The sequence below is a fragment of the Homo sapiens genome, chromosome 5 (assembly GCF_000001405.40).
Source record: "Homo sapiens chromosome 5, GRCh38.p14 Primary Assembly".
Classification (NCBI taxonomy): domain Eukaryota; kingdom Metazoa; phylum Chordata; class Mammalia; order Primates; family Hominidae; genus Homo; species Homo sapiens.
In genome coordinates, this window is record NC_000005.10 from 150,212,931 (window position 1) to 150,231,937 (window position 19,007).

General features: G+C 52.5%; 1 protein-coding gene across 5 annotated transcripts in view, besides 2 other annotated features; it reads right to left on the minus strand.

Annotated features, from left to right (window-relative positions):
- The window catches only part of CAMK2A (calcium/calmodulin dependent protein kinase II alpha), a 70,640-nt gene continuing 58,193 nt past the window's right edge, over positions 6,561–19,007 (minus strand). For 4 of the 5 annotated variants that reach the window (NM_001363990.1, NM_001363989.1, NM_171825.3 and 1 more), the window contains 4 exons: positions 18,375–18,450; positions 15,262–15,356; positions 10,059–10,287; positions 6,561–9,783 (listed from right to left, as the gene is read on the minus strand). In NM_001363990.1, coding sequence (NP_001350919.1) covers positions 9,780–9,783; positions 10,059–10,287; positions 15,262–15,356; positions 18,375–18,450 — 404 coding nt within the window. In that variant the 3' untranslated portion in view covers positions 6,561–9,779. Of the gene's footprint in view, positions 9,784–10,029; positions 10,288–15,261; positions 15,357–18,374; positions 18,451–19,007 lie in introns of all 5 variants that reach the window. The other variant, NM_001369025.2, reaches the window with a different exon arrangement.
- Positions 14,484–15,045: an enhancer, noted in NCBI's record as "H3K4me1 hESC enhancer chr5:149606977-149607538 (GRCh37/hg19 assembly coordinates)". NCBI's record gives its function as "activates a minimal SCP1, AML or CMV promoter by ChIP-STARR-seq in primed H9 embryonic stem cells {active_cell/tissue: H9 hESC(primed)}" and the evidence as "EXISTENCE:reporter gene assay evidence [ECO:0000049][PMID:30033119]".
- Positions 15,046–15,607: an enhancer, noted in NCBI's record as "H3K4me1 hESC enhancer chr5:149607539-149608100 (GRCh37/hg19 assembly coordinates)". NCBI's record gives its function as "activates a minimal SCP1, AML or CMV promoter by ChIP-STARR-seq in primed H9 embryonic stem cells {active_cell/tissue: H9 hESC(primed)}" and the evidence as "EXISTENCE:reporter gene assay evidence [ECO:0000049][PMID:30033119]".

The window sequence follows — 19,007 nt, forward strand, 5'->3', positions numbered from 1 at the left end:
TGCAGTGAGCCGAGATCATGCCACTGCACTCCAGCCTGGGGGACAGAGAGAGACTCCATCTCAAAAAAAAAAAAAAAAGTTGTAAGCCCAGCTCAGTTAGGGCCTCCTGTCAGCCTCTCTGCAGGCTGACTGTTCTGCAGTCTCAAGGGATGAGCAGCCTAGAGGGTTTACCCAGGTCCCATGGGGAGAATGTTCTGGAGCTGAGGCCGGACCCCAGGGCTCTCCACCCTCACTCAGTCCTCTAATGTCCGGTCTCATCTGACCTGTGTGTCCATGGACCCCTGAACTTGGGAGGCTGGTGTGGAGCCTTGGGAGGCATCGTACGTGCCTGGCTGGAGTGTGGGGTAGGCTGCCCCGGGGCCCTTCATTCCTGTTCTGGGGCTTGTTAGAGGGTGCCCTTGGGCACCAGGAAATGCTGAGATGAGAAGCCTGGCTATACACAGCCACTGCCAACGTGTGGTCTCTGTGGCGGGGAAGGAGGGAAGGCAGTGGAGGGGCAGGGGCTCCTACCCACACCATTAGGTCAGCCATATTCCCGAGGCCAAGTGAGGGTCAACAGGCTCCAGGGGTCACACTGGTTACCTGAGTGTTTGGTCTTCAGTGGGCCCTGAGCCCTGTGTTCCTGTCCATCACCCCAGCCCAGCTTATGCTCCTGAGCAGGTCCCGGCTGTCCTGCCTTCCAACCTTGGCTTAGGCAGGGCCTTCCGCCTTGATCCAGTGTCTTCCCGCCCACCCGTTGGGATCCTAGCCATCCTTTAAGTCCCTCCTAAATATACCCTCCCCTGTAAGCCTTCCTCAATTCCCTAACCAGATGTGGACGCCTAGAATCTTCAGGGGGTCTGACTCAGCCCGACATCTGGTGAGTCCTGACAGCCCAGCCCTGCCTGCCCAGGGCACTCACATCCTTTTGAGACAGTGCATTTTGTTTCCACATAGTGAAGACTCTCCTTGGACCCCAGAGTGCTTTGGGGCCACAGCAGGGCATGGTGCAGAGGCCTCAGGCTGCTCAGCCACACTGATCTGGATTTATTTCCTCCCTGGCTGTGTGGTCTTGGGGAAGTCACTTAACCTCTCTAAGCTCTCATTCTTTTACCTGTAAAATGTGGGCAATGACAGCTCCTACCACGTAGCAGCATCACCCATTGGCTTGGTGGGCATGTGATACACATTTATTGATTGGAGGAACACACTTGTGTCTACCATCTCTGTCCCACTACCAACTCCTCCAGGACAGAGACTGGACTCTCCTCATCTCTCAGTCGCCCCAGTGACTCCACAAGGCTGGTTCACAGCTTTGCACCATGAAGCATCAAACTGAACACAGTTCTTGGGTGGCTCTAGGGATATCCAGCAAAGAGTTAAGACAGTTGCAGGCCCCTCAGAATCCCACGTGACCCTTAGTTGCTGAGCCCCAGGGTCTGCGGTAGACAGGCTCCTCCAGACTCATTTTTTGCTGGTGGCTCATGGAAAGTTTGGTTCTTTGAGCTCCAGCCCACTCCCTCTGGGGCCTGAGTCCTCGCTGAAGCTGGTCCTGCCCTGGAAGGGCATCCAGGGCTGGCTGCCCGTCTGCGGATCCTTGGCCAACAGTCCCCCCTGCTCTGTCTCCGCCTGACTTCCTGCTGCCTTGGCCTTCTCCCCCAGGACAGAGCAGCAGCCCGCCCCCTCTGGCCACAGGGAGGCCTTTTCTCAGCACCCCCATTCAGAATCACTTTTTGTTTTGGGAAAGAAAGCCTTTTCCTGCTCAAGTCCATAGGCTCTGTGAGCAGCAACCCTAGAAAATTGCAGCCAGGGAGCCAGGTTCAGTGGCTGGTGCCTGTAATCCCAGCTGCTCAGGAGGCAGAGGCCATAGGACCGCTTGAGGCCAAGAGTTCGAGACTAGCTTGGGCGATGTACCAAGACCTCATCTCTACATTTTTTAGAAGCCAGGCTTAGTGGTTTGTGCCTGTAGTCTCAGCTACTCAGGAGGCTGAGGTGGGAGGATTGCTTTTGTTGTTGTTGTTTTGTGGAGTTTTTTTGAGACAGGTTCTCCTTCTATCAGCCAGGCCGGAGTGCAATGGCACAATCACAGCTCACTGCAGCCTTGACCTCCCAGGCTCAAGCGATCCTCCCACCTCAGCCTCCCTACTAGCTAGGATCACAGGTGTACACCACCACGCCAGCAATTTTTTTTTTTTTTTTCTGTAGAGACAGGGTCTCACTTTGTTGTCCAGGCTGGTCTGGAACTCCTGGGCTCAAGCAATCTTCCTGTCTCAGCCTCCAAAGTGTTAGGATTACAGGTTTAAGCCACCTTACCCAGCTGGGAGGATCTCTTGAGTGACAGGCTAAGAACCTTCTCTAAAAAGAAAAGAAAACTGTGGGCAGTAGGAGCCAAGGAGGCTTTAGGCATCTGCTGGTCAGAGTGGAACCCTGGCTCCATGGCCCCTCTGAATCTGCTGCTTCACCTCTCTGAACCCCGGTGTTCTCAGATGTGAAAGGGGAGAATAGCTTTCCCTTGGCAGGGGATTAAATGAGATAAATTAGATGCTCAATACATATTTTTAAAATGTGATCAAAGTGCTTAGCACAAAATGTGGCATGCAGGAACCCTCTAGATGGGATGCATCTCATTAGCCAGCTCTCCCTTGTACAGATAAGGAAACTGAGGCTCAGCTCCCACCTCCAACCAGCCTGGGGAGAAAGAGGCTGGGAGTTGGTGTGCCTGGAGCCAGGGACAGGCTAAACTGGAGGCCCAGGCTTGCCAGCACCATCTGTGTGCCCTGAGGACCCAGCCTCAGTGTCCCCATCTATAAAACAAGTGGGTTGAACAAGGACAGAGGGCTCTGCAGAGGTGCCTTGGTGGAGGGAGGTGAGGAAAAGGGAGCTCTCTGCTCCCACCCACTCCATGCAGCCTTCTGCTGGGGACCATGCCACGGGAGCTAGGGAGGGGAGCAGCACCCCTCTTCGGAGATGGATTGGGATTGGCTCTGCCTAGTAGGAAGGAAGTCTCAGTTCTCTTGCAGAATGAGTTTAAGGATTCAGAGCCCTGAAGGTTTTTCCAGTGAGCCAAATGCCCTGCCCAATCACTAGGAGTAGGGGGATACAGGGTGAGCGTGGGCACAGCAATAAAATCATCACAGTCCCAAGCCTGGCTTGACCTTGATTCTGCTGATCCGAGGTCAGGGTCTCAGAGAGCTTTGGGGCTTAGGGTGGTAGGACTTAGAGGCAGGGGAGGGGCCTATGGTCAATATTGATCTAGCTGAGTCAGGGGAGGACAGGGAAGTGGGAAGCCTGGGGTGGGGCTCCCTGATAACTGCATCTTCAGGCTGCCATTGTGACTGTGGAAACGGGGTGGGGACAATGCGGGGAGGGGGAAGGGATGCTCCATGCAAATTCCCAAACCTGGGCTTTTACTAAAACTACAGCTGCCTGGACCCCTGCCCAGAAGAATGGCTCTTATTCTGTGAGGGTGGGGCCCAAAACATCTGTGTGTTTAGCAAACTCCCTGGTGAATCTGCAGCAGCCAGCTCAGTTCTCACATATGGGGCCCACAGGTTCAGTGTCATTGTAATATGAGGAAACGAAGGCCCAGAGAGGGGATGTGACTCCTCCAAGGTCACTTTGGGAGAGGATGCTGACAGTCCTCCCTTTTCTCCTGGAAGGAAGGAGTCATCCCCCTCCAGCTCCCTCCACCTCCAGTTGAGGCCCTGGGTCTGGGAAGGAATGGCTGGGCCAGGGCGTCCTGAGGGAAGTGGCCTCTGAGACTTTGGTGGCCCTGGGTGGAGAAGGGAGGGCAGGGCTGGTCCCAGGAGGAAGGACAAGGAGAGGGCATTTCCACGGGACTGGACCTGCCCCACCCTGCCCTATGCACACCCCCCAGCACCTGCCAGGGGATGTTTCCTGAAAGATTTAGCACAACCCATGCCCTGAGAAGGCACCACATCATGGCAGATTCGGGGCTCACTCAGCCCTTAGACACCTCCGGCCCCCATGGCCTCCTCCCAAGCCTGTTCTGCTCACCCTGCCGCCACAGTTCTGGGCTCCCAGCCTTTGCTCTGGCCTCCACACTCTCCCTGCCTCCATCCCATCAAGCACCCCACGAAGTTTTATCCAGCCCAGTCACCATCTCTCCTTCTCCTTCCTCTGGGCTCCTGCACACTTTGCACCTCCAGATCCAGCCCCCATCCCAGCCTTCCTTGAGTTCTTGCTCTTTGCATGTCTCTCACTGTCTGGAATGGCATCAGAGATTCTTGGGGGACAGAAGTCATGAGACAGGTCTAGCTTATCACTGAGCCCTCCTTGGAGCCCAGCCCAGCCACAGCATGCCCCAGGGAAGCAGGTGTGGGAAGCAGGTGTGGGAAGCAGGTGTTCACAGCAGCTGAGAGCCTCAATCTCACCTCCCTCCCTCGTGCCCTGGGCCATCTTGGGTGGGTTCCTTTCCTCTGGGCACCTTCTTATTAACGGAATAAAGAGAATAGTAGTGCCCTCAGTGGAGGGGTATGCTGAAGATTGAGAGAGCACCTATAAAAGAGGTGGGGCGTGCCTGGCACTCAGTCAGTTCCCACTGTTAACCGTTGTTATTTCTGGGTGGGTGGAATACTCATGCCCACACAGCCTCCACTCCTCCTTCATTCCAGGGGCACATCTGCTAGGGGTCTTCTCTATGCAAGAATGACAGTATCTGCCACGTACATCCGGAGCACGGACAAGATGCTGTCCTGCCTTCAAGGAGCACACAGTTCTGCAGAAACTTGCTTAGGTGACTTCAAACCAGAGATCTGTGGTGAGGAAGGTGGAGCAGATTGTGGAAGCCCATGGAGGGACCTAGCCCAGGGACGGGGGAGGCTGGGGAGGGTGAGGGAACTTCCCAGAGAAGATGCTGGAGCCATGTCCTGAAGGGTGAGAAGGTGTCACAGTGCGCTCAGTGGGAAAATGCAAGGGAAATGGCCCTCTGCAGTGCCCTTTGGAGTATGGAGACTGTGGGTGTAGACAACCGAGAGAGAAGACAGTAGCTGGAAGGGGACAGAGTGTCAAAAGGGGAGGAGGTCCTAAGAATCCCAGTCACTCCTCGCTGGCTGTCCAGAGACCAGGGACAGGGCAGCACCGACCAGGGCAGGGGAGGCCCCTGGAGGGAACAGAGCACTGTGCTCTGAGTTAGAAGGCTGGGGTGAGCACTGGTCAGAGTCTTGCAAGAAGTCTCTTTGCCTTTGAGTCTCATCATTTTCATCTTCAAAATAGGACTGTTGTAACTAGGACAAGAGGTGTTGTGAAAGCACTTTGTGAACTGTAGAGCATCATTCTCCTGTGAGATAATAATAGTGTTTTAAGTGGAGTCGGTACTTTTTGAGAGTTAAAGGATATCTCACAGGGCATGGTAGACGTACTAGGGCCAAGGACTGCCTGAAACCTGCTCCTGTGCTGCCACCTGCTGGTGAAGGGACACAATGACCACCCAAGCCCTCAAAGCTTTCTGCAGGGGCCAGGCAGGAGCCACTGGGGCAAGTGAAGGCAGGGCTGGGAGGACGCCTGCCACTAAACCCTTGAGGACATCGGTGATGTCCGCAATAATAAAAAACTCTTCATTTTTTACTATTGGCATCTAATTCAAATTTAAAACATCATCCGCAAAGGTGGCAAATGGAAGCCCCCAAGCCTCTCTTGCTTTTCTCAGCCTTGGCCTGTGTTCTTACTGTGAAGGTCCTCCCCTGTGTGCAAGGGGCACACTCCCTATAGACACTGCCCCTGGCCATTCCACACACCAGCAGTGAGGATAGACCCGGAAGGCAGCTGGTGCAGGGATTCTGGAGTGCCAGGCACCCGGAGTATGGTCTAGAGGGAACTGTGGGCTCCGATGGGCACCTTTCCTTGGCCCCGTGGCATCCAGGCCTCTGGGCAATGGATGGGTGACCAGCTTGTCTGGTTGGCCTGGTGCTGTCCTGTTTTGAGCACTGAAAATCTCACACAGGTATCTGGGAAGGTTGGCCACTCTACCGTGGCCTGAAGGTGGCCAAAGCCTCTGCATCACCACTTTGGCTCTGCCCTGCCAGAAGCCAGCAGCTCGGGCTCCAAGGACCAAAGTGTCCCAGGCACTAGGTCCAGACATATGTTTATGGGTAAAGAGACCCTTCCTCCCCTTCCCCATTCTTTAAAGCACTCTCTGGCATGGTGAGTCCTGAGCACTCATCTGTGAGGCTGGGCTGAGGGAAGAGAATGGGTGGGGGACTTGTGGAATAACCTCCACATTGTACAGGGAAACTGAGGCCCAGAGGAGAAGAACCTTGCCCCAGGGCCCAAGAGAGGCTTTAGCTCTTGGCTGCTCAGGCAACCCATAGCCACCCCTTTGCTCTTGTTGAGGGTACCCCCATGTGCCTGGGAGAAAGCTGACCCCATCCCTGGCTCTACAGGTGGGGCATGTGGTCCAGGCATAATCCCACAGTGACTGGCTCAGCCTTGAGCATGTGACCACAGTTGGTCCAATCAGAATGAAGACCAGGACTTTTATTTTGCCATGGGGCAGATCTGGAACTGGAAACTAACAAAAACCTCCCAGCTCAGGGGCTTGACCAAGACAGGGACACACAGAGTGCACAGAAGTTTGTAGCTATTTATTGCACTGAAAACACCAAGAATAAAACAAACGCCCCTTCTTCCCATCCCACCCGCCCCCCCCAATAGCAGAAAGTTTGAGCAGTGTTCATTCAAGTTCACAGCCACATATTTTTAAAAAAGAAAAGAAAAAAAAAAAGAACTAAAACAAAACCCCAAACAAATAGTAACAAAGAAACCAGCACGGGGAGTCTGGCAAACTCATCCCCCAAAAGGGTCTCCCTTTGAAGGGAGACAGGAGGCCTTGGGTCAGGATTCGCACCATGGTGGGCACAAACCCAGGAGAACACTTTCCTGTAAACGTGTTTTCATGCTGGAGCCAAGGTTTTGACTTGGGTTTGGATTTTTATTTATTTATTTATTATTATTATTATTATTATTTTGCATCTAAAGGATGTTTTGGAGGAGCACAGAGTTTGTCTGGTGAGGGTAGGCTCTGGGCAGATTTTTCTGTGAGTCTCCCCTGCCTGCCACATCAGGATCATCCCTGGTGCCCTGTGGTGGCACCAGGTGGCTGCCCACCCACAGGCGTGGCCTTCACAGTGGGGGCCATCTCAGCCTGGGGTAGCGATCTGCCTCCACTTCTCTGGCACTTGGAGAGTGACACAGTGGACAGGAGGTGTGTCAGCCAATGAAAGGCAGGACCTCAGGCTCCTCCAGCTCAGTTTCCTCTGGCAGGGAAACCAAGCTCCAAAGAGGGAAAGGAACTTGCCCAAGGTCACACAGCAAGTCTGGTCAGAGCTGGGAATTGAAGCCTACTCACCCCAAATCACTGCTCTTTCCCCTGCAGTCCACTGCTGAAAAGCAGTTGACAGGCACCGACGAGGGGAATCAGGGGCAGGTGGGGGAGGGGATGGAGCCTGACCAGGTCTAGAAGTAAACAGGAGTCCAGCCAGTGACTATCCCTGCCAGTTCCTGCAGGTAAATTAGGCTTCACATAGCCAGACGTTTGCTCCTTCATCGGCTGGATGGGAACAAAGAACCCTTTTAACCAATGAGGGAACTGAGGCTGAAGAAGAGCTCAGACCTTGCTCGGTAATTACAGCAGCCCCTGGTGAAGGCCACACCCTCACCCTTGACTGGGGATGGCTGTAGGGAACTGGCAGCTCAAAAGGGGACAGGTGGTTTTGCCCCTGGGATAATGGGATCACTGGGCCTTACTGGGAAGCCCTCTGGGCCTGGGGCAGGCCAAGAGCCTGCCCCTGGGCCTGGGCAGCAAGGTCTCTGCCAAGGACAGAGGCCAGTGATGGACCAGCTTGGAAACCAGGAGGCCTGGGCAGCATCTCTCCTGGCCTGCAGACCTGGCGTTGCCTGTCTCACCTGGGCCTGGGCAGCAGGACTTGAGAAAAGAACCCAGCAGACAGCTGGTGATTGGGGAGAGCTCAGAAAATCTCGGATCAAACATCCTCACCAGTTCTGCTCCAACCAACACCCAGGAGGGTCGAGGGTACCGGAGCCTCCTCCAATCCCTGGGGACGTGGCTCTTCCTCCCCTAAAATCCTCCAGAGGGGACAGTATCTCATGCTGGCAAAACACGGCCACACAGAGGCCAAAAGCACAGAGAGGCAGCAACATAATTCCGAGTCGGACACTGAGAATACAACCTCTATTTTTTTTTTTAGTCCAAAACATGTAGATTGGTTTTGTTGAGTGTTTTCTTCTTTTTGTTTGTTTTCAACATACTTACTGCGTATAAAGTCATGCAAAGAAAACAGTGCAGACAGTAGATCCTAGTGGATGTGCCAAGGTATTCCACTCAGAGTCAATCCCAGGGAAAGAGGGAAAGAGGAAAAGAAAGAGAGAATGCGAACCCGAGGCTGCAGGATGAGGCATGAAGAGTAGAAATTCCCAGTGCTTTGCTGTGGTCATCAGACGCCAAGGGGAGAGAGGCAATGAAGACACACGCTCACGGGCCCCCCAGAGGTGGGTGGGGGGTGCTGGGGGCGGCACACAGATATGGTGAGATGAAATCCTGGGAAGTTCGGTAGAGAAGACCCCAGTTTGCGAGGGAAGCAAAGAAAAGTCCAGGTATTTCCATCCTGACAGCCTCCCTCCTCCTCTCTGCCCTGACTTGCTGTTCCTGAGTCAGTGCTGGCATCTGATGCTTCCACAGTCCCAAAAGGAACGCCTGTGTCAGCTCACCTTGGGACCGAAATGGCAGAGAGGCCCTTCTCCCCGGAGCTGAGTCCACCTTGGCCCCAATAACCACAGGTGACAAGGTCCACCTCAGAGATGACAAAAAAAAAAAAAAAAACTAGAACAGAAAAAAACTACCCCTCACCCCTCTTCCTACACCCCTTCCAACCTGACCCTTCTCACAATAATCTGAGAAGTCTAGTTATTACATAAATATCCATTAACGCGAAATCCATTTACGAAATACACAGAAATTTGGCTATAAAAAGGCATGCGGTCCAAGTAGAAGTGATACCTAAACGTTGCTTTCTTTTGCCCCCCAAAAACAATTAGATTCCCTCTCTGAGATACGACAAAGCTGGAATTCTCCAGGGATGACGGGGGTGGGGTGGGCAGGTTAATGTTGGAGGTGGACTTCACCAGAAGGAAGCAGAAAGCAAGTAGGGGCACCTGAGAGGGCCACATCCCCCACACCGAGGGAAGGGTCAGACCACCCTGAGGTCAGCACAGGAGGAAGAAGACTTAGGGGAGCACTTTGAGGCAGGAGGCTCCTGGCGTATGCTCTTCTCCCCACTCCTTCAGTGCGGTTGGCTTAGGGGGAAGGGAGTGTCATCTGCCCTTCCCCGGGGACACTGGAAGAGGAGAGGTCTGGGAGAGGGACGGACGGATGCTGCCTTCCTCATCATGCCACCCCTCCTTCTCCCCAGCCCCTGGTGGGCACCAGCCCGGGCATTCTAGCCTACAGCCCAAGACAGATCAGGCGGACAGCAGCTGAGGCTGGGGAGAGGGGGCCAGTGCTGTGGACACCCATGCCTGAGGAAGCCCCAGCCTGGCAGGGGAGAGGGTGGGGGTGAGAGGTGGGGAGATGTGGCCGTTCGCTCTGAAGTTGCGATGACTTTTGTGAACAAGCAGGTTTTCTTGATGCAGGTACAGAAGTGACGGTGGTGGGGTGATGACATGGGAGAATTCCAGCAAAATCCACCTGGGAGAACCAGCAGCTCCACTCCACGGACAGAGTGGATCTCTGCGGCACAGCAACGCAGCGACCCCAGCCTGGTCCCTCAGCTGTAAGACACACACGGGGTGCTTCTCAGGGCATGGTGTTTCCTGCTTGGGCAACCCACCCACCCTGCCGCTTTAGATGGAGTCCATGCGGTCCCTGGTGGCTCCTGCCCAGCTCTTCCCCCAGACCTGCAGGCCTGGCCCCCTTCTTGGGGTCTCCCCACCCCACTCTGCAGCCTTTCAGAGCTGAAGGCAGCAGCTTCCCCGACGTAACCCCCTCCAGGGCAACACTCCCATCCTTTACATTACCCTGGGAGGCAGGAAGGAGGGATTCTTACTGGGGCAGGACGGAGGGCGCCCCAGATCTGTGGAAGTGGACGATCTGCCATTTGCCATCCCGGCGGTGCCAGACACGGGTCTCCTCCGACTGGGCGGTGCGTGGGATGCCGCCAGCGTCCAGGTACTGCGTGATGCGGATGTAGGCGATGCAGGCTGACTCGTCGCCCATCAGGTGGATGTGGGGATTCAGGATGGTGGTGTGCACGGGCTTGCTGTTCCGGGACCACACTGGAGGAGGGGATGGGAGGGGCAGAGGAGATGCAACCGGGGGCCTCCTGTCTCACTTTCTTCACTTTCTCCACTCCCAGCAGCCCTCTCAATGGAGGCGCCCTGCCTGACTCATTTGCAGGGAAGGGGCCTGTGTGGCAGGACTCAGCTACCTGGGATCAAGGTAGAACTTCTAGATGATGGGGACATCACATCCTAGTTTAGATACAGTGGAGTTCAGACATGCAGAATTCATCAAACATGAGAAAATGGAATGTTTGAATCATGACCGTTAGCCACATGGAATAAGCCTAGAGGATCATAGAACCAGAAGAGCTGTGAGCACAGTCTCAAATCCGGATCCCCCCAGGTACCAGGCAGGCACATAAACAACGGGGGCTGAGCTGGGTATAAGATGCTAAATGACAACTGACCCTTTGCCTCTGGGTCAGGGAGGCGATAGGGAGTGATGGGGACTGTGGCGAATAGAATGTCTTGTCCCACCTAAAGAGGGCATCCTGCACACAGCTTCCCTGGTGGTTGCCATGTGAGTGAGACCAGTGTTGACGTGCCTCGTTTTTCAAGAGAATCTGGAAATCTGAATTTTTATATGAAAACTCTTCATTTTTTAGTATTGGCATCTAATTCAAATTTAAAACATCATGCAAGCCAAGTGAAACATATCTACAGTTCAGACACGGCCCGTGGGCCTGTCTGAAGTATATCTACTTCTACTGTATATCTACTTCTACTGTAGATATACAGAATTGTGGAAACGTGGAGGAATATGAAAATTGTAGAATCTTAGAACCTTGAAATGATAAGGATGGTATTGGTGGTCATGGGGTGAGGTCATGGGACTTTCCAGCGTTAGGGAGAGATGCATAGCTCTTGGAATCATGATGGGGCTGACAAAGTCCCTGACACCAGCTTCCACCAGATGAAACATGAGGCATCTCCAGGACTATTATTATATTAATTCTAGAAACTCGATGTTTTCCTCAAGATAGGAAATGAAAGCATAGAAAGACAATGACCCAGGGAGGGGTTGGACAGTGGTGATCTGTATCTTGGGCTTGAGAGGAGCCCTTCCCTTTGTGTAGCCCGAATATAGGTCTGAATCATGTGAGGTGCTGACTTAAAACACAGCTTCCCCAACCCCACCCTTAGAGAGCCCAGTTCAAGAATCTCTAATATTAAAAATCTCCCTTCTCCTTCCCTACCACTTGATCCTGGTGCCAAGCCAGGTTTGTGAGCCACTTATTTCCTGAAAAATGTAAAATGTCTTTTTTTTTCAGGATTGCAGAAAATATCCAATAACACCCATCCCCTAATATCAGAAGCACGCTACACCCAGGCTTTGAATAAGGACTTAAAATCACCAAGTCTTAGGCACCATAGAATAACAGACTTTGAATTTGGGCTCTCAGACATACAGAATGTAGGGTTTCAGCGTCATAGACTTGGGAGTGACCTCAGAGGTCAGAGGTCACCCAGCAGCCGAACTATAGAATCTGAGAAGGGCTCTATAAGCGTCCCTGACAGCATTCAGGGCTGGAGGCATACAAGACCAACATATCCATTCCACAGATATGCAAACTCAGGTCCAGAGAAGCAATCTGACTCGTCCCAAGCTGGGCTAATTCCTGAAAAAAACGCAGTGGAATCTAAAAGTCAGTTTTGGCCGGGAGCAGTGACTCACTCCTGTAATTCCAACAGTTTAGGAGACTGAGGCAGGTGGACTGCGTGAGCCCAGGAGTTTGAGACCAGCCTGGGCAAAAAGGTGAAACCCAGTCTCTACAAAAAATACAAAAAAATAGCCAGTCTCATAACCTGGTAGGTAGGGAGAGAGAGAGAGAGAGAGAGAGAGAGAGAGAAAGTGAGAGAGAGAGAGAGAGACAATGGATAGATAAAATTAAAAAAAAAAAAGTCAGTTTCCAAGTGAGACTGCATTAGAACAATCTAGAACAATCCCAGAAGGGACAAACAGAGCTTAGCATTGCTGGGGGCACTGGGCCTTGCTGCAGTCAGCAAGGGCTGGAGTCCTAGGAGGCATTTGTAAAGAAAAGCCACCTGACATGGTGTCTTTTGAAAAGATAGGTGGCTTCCAATATCTACCCCTGTGCATAGGGTGGGAGAGAACCAAGTCCCCGACAGGAAAAAATAGGGCCCTGGAGGGTGGAACTTGGCCGGGAATGAGCACTTACTCTGGGTCTGCCCTTGTGGGTTCAGCCTTGGAGGTGAGCAGATGTTTAAGCCTGGAGTCTGGGGGCCAGCACTAAGATGGGGCCCGCTGCATAGAGGCAGGCCAAGGGCTGCATGGCTTCCTCTCTGTGATTATTTCAATTTTGCCATCGCTGAGCCTTTACAGTTGGGCCTTAGCCTGGTCCCTGCTTTGTGGGGATTGTAAGTTCACACTGGGGGACCAGTGCCCCCAGAGGACAGACTGTAAGATGGTGGCTACCATGATCAGTGAGGGAGCTCCAGGGTGATAGGGACATATGGGGTCCAGCTACCTCTCCTTGCATGAGAATTCAATTGTTATTATTATTATTATTATTTTTTTTAGATGGAGTCTTGCTCTGTTGCCCAGGCTGGAGTGCAGTGGCATGATCTCAGCTTACTGAAACTTGTGCCTCCCAGGTTCAAGTGATTCTCGTACCTCAGCCTCCCAAGTAGCTGAGATTACAGGTGTGCACCACCATACCTGGCTAATTTTTGTATTTTTAGTAAAGATGGCGTTTCACCATGTTGGCCAGACTGGTCTTGAACTCCTGACCTCAGGTGATCCTCCCAACCTCAACCTCCCAAAGTCCTGGGATTACAGGCGTGAGCCACCGCACCCGGCCGAGAATTCAATCTTCCTTGTTAGCCTTGGAGAATTCATTTGATTTATTAAAGGAAGATGTTGTTTTCTTCTTCACAACTTTTTGGAGGGTGTCCTTGGCCTCTGTACTCTACAAAGTTCAGTCAGAGAGGGTGCAAGCCAGGGTAGGAGTGTCAGTCCCAGTGGGGTTTGCTAATGTGCAGATACAGCAGGTGCTACAGGGAAGGGAAAGGGCACTGGGGTGAGTCAGGTCTAGGTTCTGCCACCGGCTTCCTGGGTTCCTTTAGACAAGTCACTTCTCTCTGAGTCTCAGTTTCCCCTCTGTATGATGAAGAGCTGGACTAGATCCTACTTCAGTCACTGAAGTACCTTCTTTGTTATTTTTGCCATTCACAAGTGCCACTGTACGTACTTCATTAAAGTATTTCCTGGGGTGGGCTTGGTGGCTAACACCTGTAATCCCAGCACTTTGGGAGGCCGAGGCAGGCAGATCACCTGAGGTCTGGAGCTTGAGACCAGCCTGGTCAACATGGTGAAACCCCGTCTCCACTAAAAATATAAAAATTAGCCGGGTGTGTTGGCGGGCACCTGTAATCCCAGCTACTCAGGAGGCTGAGGCAGGAGAATTGCTTGAACCCAGGAGGCGGAGGTTGCAGTGAGCCAAGATCGTGCCACTGCACTCCAGCCTGGGCAAGAGTGAGACTCAGTCAAAAAAAAAAAAGGGGGGGGGGGGATTTTCCTGAATTGATTGACTTTACTAATTTCTATAGGTTTTTTGTTTTTTGTGTTTTTTTTGTGGAGATTGAATCTTGCTCTGTCGCCCAGGCTGGATTGCAGTGGTGCGATCTTGGCTCACTGCAGCCTCAGCCTCCCGAGCAGCTGGGATTACAGGCACCCACCACCATGGCCATCTAATTTTTGTATTTTTAGTAGAGATGGGGTTTCACCACATTGGCCAGGCTGGTCTCAAACTCCTGACCTCAAGTGATCTGCCCGCCTCAGCCTCCCAAAGTGCTGGGATTACATGCGTGAGCCACCGCGCCCGGCTATAGATTTATTTTAAAAGAAAACTTATTGACATAGTCATTGATGAACAATCAGTATCATGAATAAAGTTCTAATAATAAGGCCTGTGAAAATGAAAGAAAGTTACATAATCCTTGCACCATGCTCCTGCCTGAAAGAGATCTGAGCCTGAGATTTGCTTTCTCTTTGATAAAGAGGGAAATTACAAAGTGGCAGAGAGGTGTTGAAAACAGGCTAGCACCCAGCAGAGTCTTTCCCCCTGATGGAGCCAGAGTATTGAGAGAGAATTAAGAAGGAAAGAGCTCTCTCACTGTGCAAACCCATGCTGTTTTAAGTGGTGCCCACATACACCCTAAATCACTGTGTAGCCTCAGTGGTACACGCCCTTGATTTGGGGGACCCTGAATATACCACTTCTTAGGTCCTTCCTCCCTGTCCTAAGCTGCATGATTCTAACCTGTGTGCGTTTTGGTTCATCCCTATCTGACCCCCGGCCTAGGGAAAGACAGACACAGGCAGAAAGCACCCTGGGTCAGCCCCAGCCTCAACCCCCTGAAGCTCCTGGTTGCAAAGCTGCCAAGGTCTCTCCTGCAAAGGAGAGGCCCAGGAAGGACAGACATGCAGGACAGAGACCTAGACAAACAGGCAGGGGCACAGCAGTGTGAGCTCTCTGTCCTCCTCTTTCCCAAACTGCCCACCCACAGAGGGCACTTGCGTAACAACCCACCAGCCAGCTTGTGACCAGCTGGGCAGCTGGGATGGCCCCAGGCATCAAGATGACTGTAACTCGGGTGTGTGTGTCAGTGGGAAGCCTCCCTTATCTATAATATGGGAATCAAGGCCCTCCCCAGGCCCCTCCCAGGGTCATGGGCAGGAGAGGCCTGGGAGGGCTTGTCCTGTGTGTCCCTGGTCTCTGGGACCTCGCCTGCCCCATCTTCAACCACAGGAGGGGCAGCTGGTAGTTGATGGGCCAGGGTTAGGAGAGGGAACCAAGAGGGTACCAACCCCAGTCCACACGGGAGCTTCCTCTTCGCTGGCTCCTGAGCCGCCCCTGGGGCCCTGCCCGTCACCCTGCTGTGCCATCCAGCAGGACATGGAACGAGAGCAGACAACAGGCACCACAGAGAGAAGGAATTGCTCACGGTTTTCAAAATAGAATCGATGGAAGTCCAGGCCCTCAACCAGGTTCCCCAGGGCCTCAGGTTCGAAGGCTGTCATGCCAGGGTCGCACATCTTCCTGGGGGAAAGAAGCCAGAGGGAAGAGGGACTGGGGCGGCTTCTCATTGGACCCTTGGAGGGTGAGCCTGTGAAATAGGAATGATTGCACCTACCTCACAGGATCATTGAAGTTAGTAGATGGGAAGGGGCCAGGGGCTTGCAAGTTATAAAGTATGGGATATCACTGACTGGTTGGTGCCATCTAGATCCGGGAAGCCTGGGTTCAGGCCCTGGCTCTGCCAATGGCTGTGAGACCCCAAGCAAGTGGCTTAATCCCTTTAAGCAAGAGCACCATGAATAGTGTACAGGGCTGTGCAGTGCACTAAAGGTGCTGGTGGGGAGGAAATTCAGCTTGCTCTCTACTCTCCAAATTGTACTCCCTGGTTCAGGGCAGTGGATCCAGAGGGGGCTTTTTCTAATTTGTCTTCCTGTGGGGTCGGGATGGGGGACACTGCCTTTTCCTTCACATAAAAGTGACTTCTGCTCATCAAGCCAGGTATATACCTGGAAGGGGCGAGTTTTCTAATTTGAACAAAGGTGCCCTATTGTTAACAGCAGCCTTGGCTGTGAGCCTCAGTTTCCTCTTCTGTAAGATGAGAAAAATAGCATTAGATGAGGTAATATCTGGGAGGAGAAGCACAGGGCATGACGGAGGCTGTGTATTTTCAGCTGTTATTCCCTTCCAGGTCTTAGTCTTCTCGGAGATCCTGACAGCCAGGCAGGGGAAGGGAACAAGCTGTCTTTCCCATCTCCAGGTCTGTGGGATCTTTTGTGGTATAACATGGACCCCTGTGACAATAGCAATGAAGCCAGGGGCAGGAAATGTCCCAGGACAAGCAAAGCTCCCAACCCAGGGTAGAATTGGAGACACCCAGGAGAAGGTGTCAGGCCCAGCACCGTCTGAGCTGGAGAAAGCATTCACAGGGTGCACTGTCCCTGCTCTGTCCTTTCTGTTTGGGTGACCCCAGACAACTTGCTTCTCTACTCATGACCCCAAATTCTCCAGATGGCTTAAGCCTGGGGCTGGGGGACTGTGCTCAGACCAAACGGGATGCCCAGGACCCTTCCAGCTCCAGAATCCCCCAAGAGTGGGGGTCTGGACATGTGGGAGACTGAGCGCCCCCACTGAAGAAGCCCCAACCCTGGAGGCACCTGGGTGTTCCTGCCTCCTAGAGTGAAGGGACTTGGAGGCCATCTGCCCCAACTCCATTGTACATATGGGGAAACTGAGGCTCAGAGAGATGAAGGAACATGTTCAAGATTACACAGGGCATCCTGGACCCCAGAGGTCATGACAAGGGGTCAGAACCTAGAGCAGGCTGCAGATGTCAGAGGAGGTGACATCACATAGGTGGGAGGGGTTCCCCAGGACCCCCAGAAGTGCCACTGAGGAGCTTGGGGACCACAGGGGCCACCTCTCTTTCCTTCACTCCCTGGCTGTGTCCTTCCAGAGCCACTGGCATGATACATTCCAAGTCCATTCTTTCTAGAACTGGTTGCAAGACCAGCTTAACAGCCTATTTCCATGCTTTTATGCAACACTCAGGTATATACATGCACACGCACCTGCGCACCCTCCTTGTGCACAGTTTTAAACGTGCACACATGTGTACAAGTGCATGCATACACATATGTACACATCACCCTCAGTTCCACACATGCATCTTCTAAGCCCCTTGTTCTTCCAGAGGGAGCCAGTGACCTTCTAGGGGGCTTTGCCACCTGCTGCTCCTGAAAACTCTCCCACAATTAGAATGCACCTGGCAGGCCGGGCGGGCTCGGTAGCTGACGCCTGTAATCCCAGCACTTTGGGAGGCTGAGGTGGGTGGATCATGAGGCCAGGAGTTCGAGACCAGCCTGACCAACATGGTGAAACCCCGTCTCTACTAAAAATACAAAAATTAGCTGGGCGTGGTGGCGTGCACCTGTAATCCCAGCTACTCAGGAGGCTGAGGCAGGAGAATCACTTGAACCCGGGAGACGGAGGTTGCAGTGAGCCAAGATCGTGCCACTGCACTATAGTCTGGGTGACAGAGTGAGACTCCGTCTCAAAAAAAAAAAAAAAAAAAAAAAGGGAAAAAAAAAAGAATGCACCTGGTCTGCCAAGCCTTTGAGAGGCAAACTTCAGCTCTGGGCACATTGGAAATCAGGAACAGGCTGCCCAAGGAGCAAACCCCAGCCAGGTTATGCCCAACTCAATTTAACCCAACAGGCAAAAATAACTCTGCCTTGGCTGGCAGTCTTTGTCCTCCAAAAAGCTTATGTCTGGTCTCTAGGCCCAGGCCTTGTCAGCACTGGCCAAAATATTGAGGACTAAGCCCAAAATATTTGCTCTCCCGGGGGCCAGCTGAGGGCCCAAGTGAAGTCTGTTTCTGGGCCAGGCCAGGAAAGGTGTGAGTGAACAGCACAGGGTGCTCTGGCTCAGCCCATGCACACACAGCTGCCCCTCCAAAGGCAAGTCCAGGTGTGTATGTGATGTCTCATTTTATGTTATTTTTGTGCAAGCTGCCTTATTTCTCAGAGGAGTTCAGATTCTGCTTAGAATTACTTCTGCTCATGCCTGCTCACTGAAGGGACGTGCCCTGTGGATCCTGCTTGCTCCTGCCCATCTGAGGTCAGAGGTCCAAGGGAGTCTAGGGTGAGCACTCAGGCCTACTGGGCAGGAATGAAGGGAACGTGCCTCCCTTCCCACCTTCCCAGCTCATCTCCTGAGGAGGCCCATGCTGTGATACTGTCCACCCCCTCTTTCCTTGGGGAAGCAAGGGAGTTTTGTTGGAGTTCCTCCCAGGGAACAAGATGTGAGGAGGAGGAAGGATGGGAGGAGGAGGAGGACTGACATATAGAGCAGTGTCGCGAACAGAAAGCTCAATAGAAGCATCAAGTCCGGATGCAAAATAGAAATATGAGTTCAGCCCGATTCACAGCACATGCAAAGTGAGTGGATGAGGATCGGAGACAAGGACCCCCAAAGTTAGCCATTGGTACCCCCTGAACAACAATCCAGGCAGGACATGCAGAATGAGCCCAGCTGACTCACGTGTAGGACTCAAAATCTCCATTGCTTATGGCTTCAATCAGCTGCTCTGTCACTTTTATAATTTCCTGTTTCCGCACTGTAAGGCAGAAGGGGACACAGAAATAATAATAATAATAATAATAATAATAATAATAATAATAGTGATGGTAATGAAGCACCAACTACCATTTCTTGAGTCCTTATCATGTGCCAGACTCTGTGCTGGGACCTGAAGACCTCATGCAGATGATCTCATTTATCCTCGCATTGCTGCTGGGGGCTAGGCATCATCACCCCCATTTCACAGAAGAAACTGAGGCCCAGAAAGGCAAAAAAAAAAAAAAAAGGTGTGAAAGTTCCTCAACTACAAAGGCCAGAGCCAGTGTCTCTGTTGGCGGTCTTTGCCTCTAATACATGGTGGACATTCTGAATCTACGCCTGATGTAAATCCAGGTCTTGGCTCCCAAATACTTATTCCTACCACCTTTGCTTTGCCATGTAAATCAAAACAGGATCAACTGTGGCACTGTCACTGATAGCCATGAGCCAGGGGCTTTCTTATGGCCAAAACCAGCACCACTAAGAAAAATCTTAGGGTATACGCATCCCTTGAGCCTAGATGAGCTTCTTGCTCTATTTGGGTGCCGATAGGAA